The sequence below is a fragment of the Homo sapiens genome, chromosome 2 (genome assembly GCF_000001405.40).
Source record: "Homo sapiens chromosome 2, GRCh38.p14 Primary Assembly".
Classification (NCBI taxonomy): domain Eukaryota; kingdom Metazoa; phylum Chordata; class Mammalia; order Primates; family Hominidae; genus Homo; species Homo sapiens.
This window is the reverse complement of record NC_000002.12, coordinates 174,956,972-174,974,731: the sequence shown is the minus strand read 5'-3', so window position 1 is coordinate 174,974,731 and position 17,760 is coordinate 174,956,972. Positions and strand designations below refer to the sequence as shown.

At 38.6% G+C, this 17,760-nt stretch overlaps 1 protein-coding gene across 5 annotated transcripts in view, besides 3 other annotated features; it reads left to right on the top strand.

The window, feature by feature from the left end:
• Positions 1–17,760, top strand: part of CHN1 (chimerin 1) — a 206,573-nt gene that overhangs the window by 30,650 nt on the left and 158,163 nt on the right. The gene's annotated exons all lie outside the window — the stretch shown is intronic.
• Positions 7,068–7,904: an enhancer, noted in NCBI's record as "NANOG-H3K27ac hESC enhancer chr2:175831556-175832392 (GRCh37/hg19 assembly coordinates)". NCBI's record gives its function as "activates a minimal SCP1, AML or CMV promoter by ChIP-STARR-seq in naive H9 embryonic stem cells {active_cell/tissue: H9 hESC(naive)}" and the evidence as "EXISTENCE:reporter gene assay evidence [ECO:0000049][PMID:30033119]".
• Positions 7,865–8,065: a silencer, noted in NCBI's record as "peak3936 fragment used in MPRA reporter construct". NCBI's record gives its function as "represses an SCP1 promoter by STARR-seq MPRAs in K562 erythroleukemia cells {active_cell/tissue: K562}" and the evidence as "EXISTENCE:reporter gene assay evidence [ECO:0000049][PMID:32103011]".
• Positions 9,843–10,678: an enhancer, noted in NCBI's record as "OCT4-NANOG-H3K27ac hESC enhancer chr2:175828782-175829617 (GRCh37/hg19 assembly coordinates)". NCBI's record gives its function as "activates a minimal SCP1, AML or CMV promoter by ChIP-STARR-seq in primed H9 embryonic stem cells {active_cell/tissue: H9 hESC(primed)}" and the evidence as "EXISTENCE:reporter gene assay evidence [ECO:0000049][PMID:30033119]".

The window sequence follows — 17,760 nt, the reverse complement described above, 5'->3', positions numbered from 1 at the left end:
CTCTTACCTTTATTTTATTTACCTTTATTATTACCCTTATTTTTGAACATTTTATTGGTGCTGGGAAAACATTTACTACTAGCATATTTGCCTTGACTTTGAAGAGTAGGCCAATATTTAAAAATTTATGAGAAAACAATTTGATCTAATTGTCACTTGTGAACAGTAAAAATTCATTTTTTTGTTATATTATGGGAATTTGAAAAGTCTTATTAGAGATAAATAATTCTCTCTTGCAGACTGGTAAAAGCACATGAAAATGTTTTTTCATTGCTGTCATTTGTCTGTGCTTGATGTGGGTTTGAATCAGATAACTTTTTCATTTTCCAGTGACAATGACCTTTTGCTTTTCAATTCCTAGTATTCAGCATCCTTGCGGGCATTCCAACAGTGTTAGTGCAGTAAAGCATGCAGACGATATTTTCAACAAAATGCTTGTTCACAGCTGCGTGACATAAATCACTCAGTCTGCTTTTTGAATAACAAATAATATTGCTTATTAGAAATCCACATCAAGTCTGGAGTTAAAAGAAGACTCTATTTGAATATTTTAAAACAAACCGATTATCCACCTTTCCATTTTAGTAAACCTATTGGACTGTAACATTTCATATGTGAAGTATGTTTGGCATTGTCACGGTATTTTGAGTCCTGAAGTGGAAATGGGAAAAAAAGAAGTAATATTTTCTAAATAAGGGCATTTTGGAAAATTCTTTAAAGTATGATATCTTGAGACCTCTAGGTATTCTGTTTACATATGTTCATATAAGAGATACCTTGTAGTACTTTAATTCACATATTTCTTCATATAGCTTTCTAGTTACATCTATATTTCTTTCCCTGGAAATTTCCTTAATGTCAGATACTTCAGGAATAAAGGTAAAAGGTTTTTTGATGGTAATAATAATAACAATAACAATAGCTAATATTCATTTGTCCAATTGACGTGCCCTGGGTCAGACTCACAATTAGTAAGTGCTGGTAGAGACAGGTTTCCAGACTTCCAGGGCCCACACTTCTCACCGCTGTCCTGCACTGCCAAAGCTGGCAGCACAAAGTGGGGTGGGTCCACATCGTCAGTCCTGAAACTCACATCAACCTGGCTGAAAATGTGTAACTTCTCTTCCTCCTGAGCACCCAGAAGTGAAGTGCCCAGGCATCCTTCATCTTTTGCTTGCTTTTGCTGCTGCTTCTTCATCACTTTGTCTTCTCTTGTTTTGCTTGTGCATAGAAAATATCCCAGAACTTACTTTCAGTCATTAGCTTCCCTGGCCTTGAAGTATATTTTGTCACCTCCTGCCTAGGTTTCTGCCCTTCCTGAAAAAACCGTGTTTTGTGAATGGGCTTCCAGCAGCCTGAGTTGGTCTACTGATATCATCAGGAAGATTTACAGTGCTCTGTGGCATCTAAAACACTGAATAACTGTGCTTATTATGTATGTTTTCTGTTTCATGATCTGGCAAAATGTTGTCATGATAGTTCTGCATATCATATGTTGAAGCATGGGTTATAGTAGGAAGGAGGCATGCAGATTGCACAGTAGCCCATTCAACTGTGGAAGATACCAGAGAGCATAATCATTGTTATCCAGCATTCTCTTTCTAACTCTTAGACTTTTACTGTGATGACCCAGTGTGGAAGAATTTGTGGTTGAACAACTGAAGAGTTCAAGGCAAAAATAGTGTTAGGGTGATCCTGGGTCACTAGTAAAGCTATGAAAGCTTTAATTTTCTTTTTATATTTGATATAAAATGAGGATAGAACACTAGAAAAAGAGAATATCAGTGATTATATTAGGAACTTTTCAGGATCTCCCTCATTTAAAATTTGGAGAATATGTTTATTAGTTCACTTTTTCTGTGGATGCAGATATTATGCATACTAAGGGGTTATATTTTCTATTTCTGATCTTCCTTATGCATAGCTGAGTCAGAATTTGTTAAACATTCTCTCTGATAAGGTTATGTAGTATAATTCCTTACGTGATAACGCTTAGCCTTGGCACTGAATCAACCTGACTTTATGGCCACCCTCCCTCCCTCCTAATAGAGTGAGTGAGGAGGACAGTTCCAAGATCTCACTTTACTTTCTTTGCTCCAACTTCCATTGTCTGAATGCTGCATAGCTCAAACTACGACTACTGCTCTGCCACCCACTTCACCTTCTTTTTTTCTTCCCAATCCTAGATCACTCATTTATTAATCATCCCCAACAAAGTGATTCATAGACTAAATATTACAGGAAGTGTAAATTCCAAGATTTTAGAAAGTCTGTCTGCATATTCTAGCAGGAATGTTTAGCTTAGGGGAATTTGAAATTGGGTTAGGGATTACTGTTCTTGACCTTACAGGACTCCTTCTTGAGATGCAGACAGTAAGTGCCTGTCTTGTCACTAAGCTTATTGGAGTGATGAAGCATCAGGATATCACCCTGCCGTGGGTCAGAGAGAAGATATTTCTTGGACTTGATGGTTTGAGTGAGATGACAACTCTTTTTGGACACGGGAACCAGAGAACATCCTAAACATTTCATTGAAGGTTATACTCAAGCTTGAGCTACAAGGAAACCAGTAGCAGCAAGGAGAAGACTTTAATAGCATCGTGAATGAACCTGACCATAAGGGATACCAGCTTGTTGTCCTGGAAGCTGGGCTTGAAGCCAGATACCTCAGGGTTATTATTGTTCATTGTTTAGCCTAGTGATAGTTGTCGGGCCCTTGTGGACTGCACTTGAAGTATTTCCTCAGGCATCTGCATCTGCCTCTGAGAAGGTGACCTGGTCTTTCTCCTGCTCATATGAGCTTGCTTAGGTTATCTCCCTTCAATCCCCAATTCATTTGGCTTTGTATTTTGGCTTCTTCTTATTGCCTTGATAATTTTAGATGTAGTCACCTAGGATGACACTGTTTGCCTTGTTTCTAACTTAGCATTCCTTTATTATACTATCAATTTTGGTCAGGAGTATGAGATCTGGAGGCACATGATCTTGGTTCAAGGACTGGCTCTGCTCCTTGTGACTTTAAATAGGTGCCTTGATCCCTCTCAATTACTTGTTTTCTCATGCATAAAATGGTACTAGTAATAATACCTTATAACATTGTTTTGAGACATAAATAAGTATAAAAACATTTAACAAAAGACTGGCACATTGTAAGTGTTCAGTGCAACATAATTTACTATTGTGTTCTAGTTATTGTTTTAGGCCAGTGGTTTTCAAACTTTTAAATCTCAGGATCCATTTATATTCTACAACATTGAGAATCCTAAGGTGCATTTGTTATGTGGGTTATATGTGTTGCTATTTACTGAATTTGAAATTAAAATTGAGAAGTTTTTAAAAATTATCAATTAAAAAATAAACTCCTTACATGTTAACATAAATAACACATTTTATGAAAAATGACTTTTTTTTTAAGAGACGGAGTCACGCTCTGTCACCCAGGCTGGAGTGCAGTGGCACGATCTCGGCTCACTGCAAGCTCCGCCTCCCGGGTTCATGCCATTCTCCTGCCTCAGCCTCCCGAGTAGCTGGGACTACAGGCACCCACCACCATGCTCGGCTTATTTTTTGTATTTTTAGTAGAGACGGGGTTTCACCGTGTTAGCCAGGATGGTCTCAATCTCCTGACCTTGTGATCCACCCACCTCAGCCTCCCAAAGTGCTGGGATTACAGGCTTGAGCCACCACGCCCAGTCGAAAAATGACTATATTTTTAAATGTAGTAAGAAGAGTCATTCTTTTACATTTTTATAAACTCTTTAATGTCTGGCTTAGGAGAGAGCTAGATTCTCTATTTGCAGTCAGCTTTTGAAATATATTGTTTTGTTTGGGATATATGAAGAAAATCTGGCCTTATACAGATATATAGTTGGAAAAAAGGGCAGTGTTTTAATAATCTTTTCAAATAGTTATAGATATCTTTCTTTGATACTACACTAACACTTGACAAGTGGTAGTTTTTTAAAGGTCAATTGCAATGTAGACTTTGAAACCATATCAATGACATTTTTACTCTCGTACATTATGATCTCCTGTTCTATCTTGTATTTGACTGGATCTTTTGCCCACACATGATACTGTATTATCCTACGTTTGTCATTTCAAAAATATTCATTGATTTATGTAAATCTTGTGAATGTTAACACATTTCATTATGCAATATATCTTAGAATCATGTTCTTTAATATCACCATCGATCTCATGGGAAAAATCTTTAAATATTAACAAACTGTCAAGCTCATGGTGGTGGATACAAGTTTCCTTGAATTCTTATTTCCACTTGAAAGCTTGAATTTTTGTGACTGGCAGTAAATACAGTTAGTTATTTTTGTTGGAGTCGCAAGCTTACTTTGCTTATTCTGGAGTAAATACCTGTTAAATACCCAAGTCTGATTAGTCATAGTTTGTGAGTCCTTCTTTCAAGTGAAATGACTATTATGAAAATGGAGCTAGTTCAGCTCACAACCCCAATGACCTCAGATGTGCTTTTCTTCAAGACAACCATCATACTTGGTATACAACAACAGATGGTGCTTTATGCACACTTCTCACTTTTTTTTAACAGAATGACCAAAAGAAGTGTACTCAAGGATCAAAATTTAACAAAACCAATACTTTAAAACTGCTTCATCAAGGGCTTTCTTAGGTTAAACGATTTTTCTTTTTACTGTGAGTGTGTACTGGTGAAGTACAGTGACAGCCTAATTGCCACTGCTTTGTTTTACCCAGCATAGCTTTTGTACCACCAGTACAAATGTCAGTGTAGTGAAAAAGGCAAAATCCTTCTTAAGATTACTATTAAAATAGTTTGGGTTTTGTGGACCTCTCCTGAAAGGGTCTTAGTGACCCACAAGTGTTTACAGACCACACTGACAATTACTGTTCTAGGCAGTAAGAACACAGCAGTGTGACAACAGATGACAAAAAAATCCTGCCCTCATCGAGCTTACCTTCTGGTGTAGAGAGACAAACAACAATATAAAATTGATAAAATATGTAGTATTTTAGATAGCAAGAAGTACTAAGTAGAAAAAAAAAAGAGTATGAAGTGTCAGGGGGTTTTGAACTTTTTAAATGACAAGGAAGGCTTCACTAAGTCAAGAACTGAAGTAGGTGACGGAGCAAACTATAGAGACACCTGGGCAGGAAGATTCTAGACCGAAGAAACAGCTAGGTGGAAGTGTGTCTTATATGTCTGATGAATGGCAGAGGAACAAAGAGGCTGGAGAAGAGTGAGTGAGAGGAAGTGAAGTAGATGAACTCGGGGGCTTAGTGGGGACAGGTCACCCAAGGTCTTGTAGGTCAGTGTTTCTGAAAAATTGGTGTGCGTGCACATGACTTGGTCTTGTGAAAATGCAGATTCTGATTTGTAGTTGGGAGTTGGGTTCTGCACTTCTGCATTTCCAAGTTACCAGATGATGCCACTGTTGTGGTCTTCTTTAAATAGCAGTCTTTGTAGGCAGTTGTAAAGAGTTTGGCTTTTATTCTGAGAGACACAGGAAGTCATTGGAGAGAACGCAGCAGAAGAGTGGCATATTCTGATTTATGTTTTAACACGATCAGCTGTAAATATTAATAACAGTAGCAGGTCTGTAATCCCTTATCCAAAACCCTTGGGACAGATTTGTGCTGGAATGCAGGATTTTTCAGACTTTAGAAAGGTAGTACATTTCACATATATATAGTATATTTTATAACATTCAAAACAGTGTCTGAGGCATTACTCTATAATCACACATTAGTATTTCTGCAATGAAATAAATGGTCACATTCAATGGGATAAAGACTAAATATTCTTACATTGATCAGGTGAGGTTTTTGGTACCAAATGAGTTATAAAGAGTTATTAAATTACTTTGACGTTCAGGTCAGACCAGGCTTTGCTGCCAAATGCGTTATAAAAATACTTCCACTTTTGAAGGCATTTGGATTTTATAATTGAGAAAATACGGACCTTTGTTGGTATTATACTTGTTAGTTTTTCATATCCCTACACTGCTGGAACTTCTTCAAGACAACCAGTCCATTACATGTTCATTTTAGGCCTTGTTGCATGCAAGTGTCAGCAAGAAACGTTACAGCCCCAGATCTTTCATATTCTGGTTCTGCTCTCAGGAAGAAAAACAAGTACCTATCAATTTGAAACACAGTTTCTCATTTATAAAGAGTTTTTGCCCCTTGGCAACTTATTCTGTTGTGTATGCCATAAAAGCATAGTTAATTAAAAGATGCCAAGCATTTTACTATACTTTAGGATAGTTAACGTGCTTTAGAATTATCCAACTCCGCTCATTTGTGGTTGCCACAGTATTACTTCCATGTCTGACTTTGCTTTCTTCCTTACAGCTGTGAGCTGCCTTATTCCACATTTGGCTCTACAGTTTATAATCTAAGGCAAACCTCTCTGTGTTCCTTAGAATCCACTTTTTTTTTCCTTAGTGACTGAGTGGTTTTCCCAGAGATATCCAGTTTAAAAGAAATGCATTTGGAAATGATCAAAATAAGATGAAAAATGTTGTGGTCTTTTCCCATCTCAGTTACCTGTGATGTGAGTATTAGTAATAGGAGCCTTATCTCTCTTTTCCCAATAGTTTCATGTAAGCGTTAGTTTATCTTACTTTCTGAGCAACTGTCCTTTTGATAAAGCTTGAAAACATGGATGTAAGGAAGACTTTGAAGGGTTGCTATTTTAATGCCTGCTGGCAAAATGATATATTGACTCTCATTGGAAAATCCTGTGAATCCGCATTGCAGAATAATGCACATTCTAATAAACACACTACTTTAAATACTCCCAGGCCAGGGAATATGATCGATTCCTGTTCCAAGGGCAAGAATCCAAGTAGGTCAGTGCTACAAAACTATGTTGGAGTATGGGGAAAGCATGGGTTAGGAATAATTTCTGCCAAAGAATGAATAATAGCAAGAAGAAAAACATCATTTGCAATTTTTCTTTTAAGAAAAGGTTAAGGAGGTTATATAGTGGGTCTGCTGAAGGAGGTGAGGGTTATCTGAGACCACTGAATTACAGTTGGAAAGATAACTGACAAGGAAAATCTCCACTAAAAGTATAGTTGATTATTTTCCAGAACTTGTACTTATAAAAAGTAAAAATTCTCCAAAGAGTGTTCGTATGGTTACATTTTTTTAATATCTGGAATTTCAAGTGCTATGAATGGTTAAAAGTCTAAGTTGTTGAATTGGAAAAAATGGAAACATTGGAACATGAACATTGGAACACGAACATTGGAAAAAATGTTCATCAAGCATATTATTTTGTTGTAGTAAAACATATATAACGTAGTATATTCTTTTAAGGATGAATTATAAAGACTTCATAAACATATTGCATTTTAATTTAATTTAATTTAATTTTTGAGACAGGATCTCACTCTGTTGCCCAGGCTAGAGTGCAATGATGTCGTCTGGGCTCCCTGCAGTCTCGACCTTCCTGGCTCGAGCAATCCTCCCTGCATGCCACTCCTGCCTCCTACCCCAGTAGCTGGGACTACAGATGCATGCCACTACACCTGATTAATTTTTGTATTTTTTGTAGAGACGGGGTTTCTCCACATTGCCCAGGCTGGTCTTGAACTCCTGAGCTCAAGTGATCCGCTGCCTCAGCCTCCCAAAGTGCTGGGATTACAGGTGTGAGTCCCCGCACCCAGCCGCATTTTAGACGTGAGATGCAGAGAAGTAGAAGGATCTACTTTATTGTCGTTATCGAGTTTTGCGCATTCTATTTTCTGGGGCAGATGGTTTCAGGGAATGTATTATATTATTAATGATGAGTTTTTGAAATGTACCCAACAAAATCCAAATGGGAACCAGTTGGGAATGCTGAGATATCATTGAGAGGACTGACAGGAATTAAACATCATCTTGAAGTTCCCTTTTGGAAATCCTGTAGGTAAACAGGCCTGTCTGAGGACTTTCTGTAAATATGCCGACATGTCAGGAGAAACATTATCAGAAGTTCTCTTCTTCTCACCTCAGATTTGACTTGTCTAGAAGAATTAGTAGGTTGGAGAATGACACTCTTTTACCTTTGGATTGAGTTAAATGACCCATTTCCTGTGTATAGCTTTTTGTTTTCAGGAGTATAGTGAAAGATTTGAGTAAGCAGAAGGACTTTGTGTAATCTGTTTGCTAGGTCTGCCAAGCTGGTTACAGGAAACTGCTTAGGTCTTTTATTAAAGACCAAGCTTTAGTTTTAAATAGGAGAGGTTTCCAAATTTGCTTCACGTTTCATTTAAGAGGCTTTGTTTGCCCAGGCTGTGGGTCCGTGGTCAGGAATTGAGCACTGCATTTACAAAATATTTTTTTCTGTGATCTTTGATGAAGTTAATGTGAGCACTGTAGTTGCACAGTTTCAGAAGTGTTTGTTTTTTTTTTTCTTCCTGAGTATTAACGGTTCTGGGTCACTATTCTCTGAAGAATTAAAAATAATTGTCTTTTGTTTTAAAAATAGTTTATTTCCATCAGAGTTGAATCATGACACATCAGTTTTCAACTTGGAACAATTTTAAATGACTTCGTTGCTTCTAAGGGTGAATTTAACTGACCTGATTTGGCCATGACTTTGCAGAGTGAATTTTAATTATCTTAGTTGTAATGCCTTCTTTCCACATTTTGAAGCATCTTCTAGGAAAGAAGTTTAGTCAGGATGTGAGATACCTAGAAACCTAGCAAGGCTCATTTTTGTTTCTCATTAGTTTAGAATCGTGTATGTTATTAGGAGCCATTTTCACTGTGAATTTTTGTTTTCCAAGAAACTTCATTAAAGAGCTTGGATGTTTTCTTTGTGACTCTTTCACATATTAACTATAGTAGTTGTTTGTTTGGTGTTTACTGTTTATGCCCTTGTTTCAAAAATCACTTTATAGTCAAATAAGAGTTTAAGCATGTCATTATTTTGGTGTGTCTAAATATTGAACCGAAACAGAACAGCAACAGGTGGGGATTAATTATTATTGCCGTACATTTTTGGATTAAAGCAGTACAGGAAATCTCACCAGTTGGTTGAAAGGCGACTCTTCATTTGAAGGGAAGAAATGGTCTTTTTTCTTGCTAATAAATGTCATTCTGTTTATACAATTCAAAATTGTTAATTTTCAAACCAAAGGCAATCTGAAACTAATATGCTTTAAAACCTAAATCACAATTTTTGAGTGTTCATAGGTCATTTGTCTAAACATTTAAAATGCAATATAGTCCTTTTTGAGAATTCATTATATTGTTTAAAAGTTGTAACAGCCTTTGGTTTGGCCCTAAAAAAATAAACAGCTTAAATTTAACATTCTAGTCTGTTCTAGAATGAACTGTTTAACTTGTAAAACGTTAAGCAGGTTTAAACTTCACCAGAGGAATATTATTCTAAACCAAAGAATGCATAAGATATAGATTATATAATGATACAAAAAGAATATATAATAAAAAGAAAGAAATAATTTTTGTTTTCAGAGGTCATTTTTAACAACTTCTATAGATATAGCGGATGTAAATAGGATCTAATTGGAGAGAACATGAAGATGTATTTAGTCATAAAATGTTATAAATTAATCCAAAAAATCAGGACATTAAGGTATTTGTAAGTAAATTTAATCCTATCAGTCAGTAAATGAATACTTTTGAGTATCTCCTAAGTAACTATAATGTTATAAATTATATCAAAGATGGATTTAACTAGGGATTTTAAAAATCATTGCCTAAAGGCTCAGATATCTTGAAATTTTTGTTATTTAAAGAAAAGTGAATGTCCTGACAATACTAATATTTAGAGAAAAAGCAGCACAAAAGATTATGGCAACAATGAGTTTAACACTAAATCTTGTTTAAAATCTATACCTTTGAGTTTAAAAAAGCAAGAAAAATTGGAATCGCTTTTCATAAACATGATAGAATATATAAAAATATGTTTAGATAAGGTTTTCTTGACTTGCAATTCTAGCAGTTAACCAAGAATGAAAGAAAATTTAATTAAGAAACTGTTTTTCATTTCCTATAACAAATGCTTGACATTCAGCAAATTCAATTAGAACCGGCAGAAGAGGTAAATGAAGACCTCCACAGGGATTCTGAGGGGGAATTCAAAGACTTTAGAAGAATGTGGTGCTTTATTATGCGTAAGTTTGCCACAAAGCTATAGCTGATTTTTAAGCCTCTTGGACTGGGATTTCTCTGGTAGTACATGCAGTTCAAGAGCCCACCTAAAACAATTAGAGCCTCCTGTGGAGTTTGTTAAAGAGGACTTTTCTCTGTCTGATTCAGTTTCCATGTTTTCTTCATCTTACAGATAGTTTACTTACACTTTTTTGTTTTTAATAGTTCTCTGTTAGCACAAATGTAATGTATTCGTTGTATAATAGAGAGGCCTTTCTCCTCCTGGTTCTAGGAGAGAATAATACTCCAAGACCATAGGACATCCATTACATGTAATAAGGTAACTTCTCTCCTGTGCTTCCAGAAAGAGTTTGTTATCTCCCATACTTGGGAGAACTAAGAAAACAGTCACTTGAAACATTATCCAGGCTTGCTTTAGAGGAGGAGAAAGGCTGATCTGGAGATCACTACTGTTAACCCTTCTAGTGTGTGTCTTTCTAGTTCTTTCATCCTCTCTCTCCCTGCTGTGTACACATGCACATACATATACACAGGAATATCTTTTCTTTCATTTATAAAAAAATGAAAAAATTCTCTGACAAGGTTGTACTGTACATACGAATTAACTTAGGCTTATTTTGATCTCATCTTTTTCTTTCATTTTCATGGATTTGTTTATGTTTTTACATCAAGTCTCGAGGAGAATGTCTCACACAGAACCTAGCTTAGACATGAAGCTTCTCTCCCCTTTCCCAGGCCTTGCTGCCACCTGCAATTTTCAGTTCCTTACTTTGTGCTCTTGTGAGTCGGCTCCATGAGTTGTGCTTGTTGTCTTCTGTCTTTGGCTTTCCTGTTGCCTGGTTTGCTTTCTCCGACTCTTGAGAAGTGAGCTGGACCTGACTACAGCATTCTTCTGTCCTCAAATAGCTGAGTATTTAATTGAAAGAACATACAAACCAGAGAAGAACTCATAGTGCGTTATTTGTGGATGGCTCCTGACAACTCAGCCCAGGTTCCCTCCAGGGCCTGAGTCACAAACTTTCCTCAGTATATCTTTATTTCAGCCACTCTGCATTGTTTGCAGTTCCTCAAACATGTACTGAACTTTCTTGTTTCTGCCCTCTTTTTCACTGTGTTCTCTCCTCTGTTTAGTGTCCTTCTGCCTGTTATTCGCAGCCCCTTTATTTTAAAAACCATCTATCCTTTAAGAGTCTTGTCGGATAATACCTCTTCTGGTATGTGTTTCTTGACTCTCTGGCCAAAAGTGATTCCTTCTTTCCTTCCATTCGTTCATCAGTTCAGCAAATACTTACTATAGACCTATTCTTGCCAGGCATTTAGACAAGACAATGTTTGTAAAACTTCTATTACTCTTACTTTATTGCCTTGTTTGTGAATAATATCCATCATATTTTTGTTACTGCCATTGAAGGCACAAACTATATCTGGACCCGCCTCGTAACTGACACCCTCACCCATAGAAGGTGTTTCATGTGTAATTACTGAATGAATGAAACTTTCTGATTATTTTAACATTTCTGTGTGCCAGCATAACTGATATTTTTATAAAATTATCTTTTATATTAGGTATGAAAAGTATTACTGACACTTCATGGCAATGGAGAAAACCTTTTAATAGATTTTATGGGTATATACTTAATTTAAATAGTCGTACATATCATGATAAGGATATATGTATATAATAATAATAATTATTTTTTGAGACAGGGTCTCGCTCTGTTGCCCAGGCTGGAGTGCAGTGGCACGATCTTGGCTCGCTGCAACCTCTGCCTCCCTGGTTCAAGCAATTCTCCTGCCTCAGCCTCCTGAGTAGCAGGGATTACAGATGCATGCCATCATGCCCGGCTAATTTTTGTATTTTTAGTAGAGGCCGGGTTTCACCCTGTTGGCTAGGCTGGTGTCGAACTCCTGACCTCAGGTGATCTGCCCCCCCCCCCCCCCCCCCCGGGCCTTCCAAAGTGCTGGGATTGCAGGCGTGAGCCACCGTGCCCAGCCATACCATGATAAAGATATTTTAAGCAGCTATTCTTAAGTCATAGGTTATCTGCTTCTCATTCTCAGTCATATTCTGCTGATGGAGTTTGACAGGTTCATAAGCTGGGTCTGGGCGGATTTTCTGACAGAATCAAAAAGAGGTGTTGTGAGCGCTTGAGACCTTCAGCTGAAGGCAATCACAAACATTTTCGGAGTATTAGCCCTGGATAACTTTGAACAAGCTGCTGTTCTCTGCCAAAAGAACACACAATTTTCTCTCTTTTCTCTTCCTAATTTTTGTATTTCTTCTATTAGATGAAATATTTCTTCTTTGTTTGTTTGTTTGTTTTTGAGACAGAGTCTTGGTCTGTTGCCCAGGCTGGAATGCAGTGGCGTGATCTCGGCTCACTGCAACCTCCGCCTCCCAGGTTCAAGCGATTCTCCTGCCTCAGCCTCCTGAGTAGCTGGGATTATAGGCGCGCGCCACCCCGCCCGGCTAATTTTCGTATTTTTAGTAGAGACGGGGTTTCACCATGTTGGTCAGGCTGGTCTTGAACTCCTGACCTCGTGATCTGTCTGCCTCGGCCTAACAAAGTGCTGTGATTACAGGCGTGAGCCACCGCGCCTGGCCCTCGATGAAATGTTTATTAACCCCACTCTATCCCATATCCTAGATATGCCAAGGAAATTACGGTTTAAAATACTCATTCTCAAAGCATGGTCCAGGGACTCCTGAGGGAGATTTTACAAAGTTAAGACTATTTTTGTAATAATACTGAGACATTATTTTCATCACTCTCATTCTCTTGCTAGTATCTAATTGAATCTTCTAGAAGCTACATGGCATGTGGTATAACAACAGATGTAGATATGAGAATCCAGCTGTCTTGTATTAGGCTAGACATTAAAGAGATTTGCAGAATGTAAAACAATTTTTTTGTTCTGAAAAATATGGTTATTTTTCATAAAAATGTTAAGATATAATAGGCTTATTATTTTTATTTTTTTAATTTTATTTTTATTTTTATTTATTTATTTATTTTTGAGACGGAGTTTCACTCTTTTTGCCCAGGCTGGAGTGCAATGGCGCAATCTCACCTCACTGCAACCTCCGCCTCCCGGGTTCAAGCGATTCTCCTGCCTCAGCCTCCCGAGTAGCTGGGATTACAGGCACCTGCAACCATGCCCGGCTAATTTTGTATTTTTAGTAGAGACGGGGTTTCTCCATGTTGGTCAGGCTGGTTTTGAACTCCCGACCTCAGGTGATCCACCCTCAGGTGATCGGCCTCCCAAAGTGCTGGGATTACAGGTGTGAGCCACCACACCCAGCTGGCTAATTATTTTTAAATGAATTAACAAAAAAATATGATTCAAGTTTCTGCCTGCCTGCCTGCCTTCCTCCCTCCCTCCCTCCCTCCCTTCTTCCCTCCCTCCCTTCCCTCCCTTCCCTCTGTTCCTTCCATTCCTTCCCTCCCTGCCTCCCTCCCTCCCTTCCCTTCCTCCCTTCCTTCCTTCCCTCCGTCAGTGTCACCCAGACTAGTGTGCAGTGGCACAAACACAGCTTACTGCAGCCTCCACTTCCTGGGCTCAAGTGATCCTTCCACCCCAGTTTCCTGTGTAGCTGGGACTACAGTCACGCGCCACCTGATTTTTTTTTTCTTTTTGTCTTTTTTCTAGAGACAAGGTCTCACTTGTTGCCCAGGCTGGTCTTGAACTCCTGTACTCAAGTGATCCTCCTGCCTCAGCCTCCCAAAGTGCTGACATTACAGGCATGAGCCACTGTGCCCAGCTGTGTTTTTATTTTCATTTTTTTTGAGACGGAGTCACGCTCTGTCGCCCAGGTCAGAGTACAGTGGCATGATCTCGGCTCACTGCAACCTCTGCCTCCTGGGTTCAAACGATTCTCCTACCTCAGCCTCCCGAGTAGCTGGGACTACAGGTGTGCACCACCACGCCTGGCTGATTTTTGTATTTTTAGTAGAGACCAGGTTGGTCTCGAACCCCTGACCTTGTGATCCACCCGCCTTGGCCTCCCAGAGTGCTGGGATTACAGGCATGAGCCACCGTGCCCGGCCCCAGCTGTGTTTTAATTTCCAGTGTGGCTAATATCAATAAATATTAAAAGCTCTTTAGAATCCAGATTTCTGAGACCCAAAAGATTGACAGCCACTGGTTTATAAGATTTAAAATATTTAAGATAACAGAGAACACACTTTCTAAGAGATTAAAAGGTAAAGTCCTTTTCATGTAGTCCAGGTATCTTCAAACTGGAATACTTAATCATACTTAATCATAATGGATTAAGCTGGTTTTCAGTTGTTGGACATTTAGGTTGAGTACAGTATTTTAGTCTTTAAAAGTAATATTGTGATATTCTTCTGTATTAATATTTTTCTAACATCCTTAATTAATTGTTTACAATGAATTTCTAAAAATAGAACTGCTGGGTCTAAAGGTATGCAGAAGGAACTGGCATGACCTGTTACACTCTCATGTTTTTTTCTATTAATCAGCAGGAAATTTATTATGTTCCTTTTTAGACAGTCTCCGCCTCCAAGTTTGAGCCCCAGGAGGCTTTCCCAGTCCCAGAGTCATCCCATCTGCCTCCAAATGCCAGAAAAAGAACCAACTACACTATTGCTCTTCCTTCCCATCATCATTTTTTCTCAGCATTTAAGACCAGCCCTGCACTGTTTGGCAATAGTTGCTTGAACTGCCACTAGGATCCTGTTTCTGGTCAGACCATGGCCCAGGTCACAGCAGTCACCGCAGTTGAAGGTCAAGATTGCAGTTTTTTAAAAGTTCATTTTCTTTTACTGAAGGATTTAGTGTACCAGGGAGGCTGAGGTCAGAGACACTTCCAGCATCCACCTTAGGCTGTGCCAGAATCTGTCCTACCTGATAAACGCAGAAGCTTTTTGTGTGACCTTAGATCACCAGTTTCAGTTATTCCTTCTTCAAGGCCATTTTATTTCAGGAATGTCTCTGCCTCTTCTTGCCAGTGGGACTTGGCTTGAGCTATGAGTGTCTTCTGTGACAGAACTCTTTAATTTTGAATCTCAGGAATTAAAGATTGGGGTAATGTTTCTTCCTTTTCAGGAAGATTTAGCGTCCTGGAAAATTGGTCCTCCTGCCTTCAGCAACTAATTCTGCATATCAAGAGATTGAGGCACTTTTTCCTAAGCCATTCAACTTTCCCCTCCCAGTGTCCCCTCCTCCCCTGAGTCCTAAGGACAGTGGCACCTACCCACTGGTCAACTAAAGGAACATTCAAGCCGCTTTTCTCTCAGCAAAAGGATCCACACCAGTGATCTAAGGTCTCTACCCATAAACATAAGAAAGGCCAAAATAATTTTTAAGTGTTCTCCTTCAAAGAACATCTCATCTAATCTCTGCCTTAATAGATACCTGTTACACAGTTAAGCTTATGGTATATATAGCTAATTGCTCTCCAGAGAGGTTATGCCAGTTTAGACTTCTACCAGCAAAAAATAGATTGCTAGGAAAATATATTTAAAACCTAAACAGTGCTCTTAAATGTCATTAATTAGAATTGTTTTAATATTAAAAGAAATATTAAAAGAATATTAAAAGAAATTCAAACTTTTCCCCTAATATTTCTTATTTTTTTGCCAAATACTAAATTTATTTGGCCATGATTGTGATCTGTAGCATCTTGAATAATGTCTTTTATAACAGAGCAGGTGTACATGGAAGACCAAGATAGTAAGAAGGGAATACATGGCTGAAATCATTAACAGCGGCTTGAGGCTAATATGGTAATATTGTGTTTTCAGAATAACTTTTGGTGAAGGCAGGAGAGGGTTCTTATTTACTGAAGGTCTCCTAAGTACAAGGTGCTTTATAGATGATACCTAATTTAATTCTCAACAACAAACCTATGTTGTTACTATTCCCATTTTAGATGATATTGTTATTCCATTTTATAAATAAATAGATTAAGATGCAGAGAGGTAGTAAATTTTCTAAAGTCACAGAGCAAGTAAAGGTTGATGTTCCCTAAGAAAGCGCCACCTAGCACTAAGTACACAGTTCTTAGAGTAAGGACTTTGAGAATTAGCCTTTCTTTCTCACCTTCTCCAAAGTCAGAATGATCTCCGGGAGGCCCTCACGGCTCATAGGTGCAGCTTTGCACAGGGTCTGTGAGGCGTTAGGGCCAACTACAAAATCTCCAAGACTTCCCTCACTTTTGACACCAACTGCAAATTGAGTGGGGGAGTTCCCCAACCACCTTCATGGACTAAAATTCACTAGAAGGACTCAACAGAACTCACTAAACATTACTTACATTCATGGTTATTGCCGGGAAAGGATACATATTAAAATCAGCCAGGGGAAGACAGGCACAGGACAGCGTCCAGGAGAAATGCAAAACACAGAGTTTCCATTGTCCTCTCTCCTTGGAGTCAGGACACATGCCCACCCTCCCTCCCTCCCTTCCTTCTCTCCTCCTGTCCTTCCTTCCTTACTTCCTCCCTTCCCTCCCTTTCCTTCCTTCCTTGGTGCCCAGGCTGATCTTGAACTCCTGGGCTCAAGCAGTCCTCCTGCCTCAGCCTCCAGAGTAGCTGGGATTACAGTTATGTCGCTGGCTTCTTCTTGCATTTATGTGTGATGATCCACGTGGGATATTTCCAACCAGAGAAGCTCTCCCGGCCTCGGTGTTCAGAGCTTTCATTGGGGCTTTATTGCATAAGCATGGTTGATTGACTGTCCATGTGGTTCCTTAACTGATACCAGTGACCCAAAGCCCCAAGTTACTCTCTGGCTGGCCCCAGGCAAACAAAAATTATCTTTGAAGGCAAGGTCTAGACCTCTTCTGAGACAAGATTAAATTATTTACTAGATAGGGTCCCAGTCTCATTGAGTGCTCCCTCCCTTCCTAGCCCCTCACAGTGGATCAGGAGGTACCTGGTCACCACCTCTTATGGTTTGGAGCCCCACAAGGAAGTGGAGACACACATAGAATATGGGTGTCCTGTTATAAACTGGAAACTCGCTCCACGTCATACTCCTTAGGATTGAATTATAATAACAGCAGAATATCAAGGAAATAATAACATGACTTGAATGCTTACAGGCAAATTTTTTCTAGTATTAAAAATACAATTGAGTTAATTATGGTTTACTTATTAAGACAAACTTCAATATAATTAACTGCCCCCCCCCCCAACACACACACCCTAGCAGAGGCATTGTGGTCACTTGCAAATAATCACAGAGAAGTAAAAAATTTGAGTCATATGACCTGCCTGTTCCCGGCTGTGGCCAAGCAAGGCAGTTCTCCGCCTTGTTTCAGCTCTCACGCTGTAAACAAGTCCTCTTTTCATGGTCTTTTCAGGGCCACACTTTTTTACATTTTTGTGGGATTTTATTGTTGTTGTTCTTAGTGATTTTGCCATTTAAAATGGTCCCCAAGCCTCGTGCTAAAGTGCTGTCTAGACAGTGTTCCTAAGAGCAAGAAGGCTGTGATACATCTTTTGGAGAGTATGCATGTGTTAGATAAGCTTCATACAGGCATGAGTTCCAGTGTTGTTGCTGTGAGTTCAGTGTTAATGAATCAACGGTATATACGAAATAAGGTGTCTTTAAAGAGATACACATATAACACAAGGTTATGTATTTAATGGTTGATGAAAATGTTGT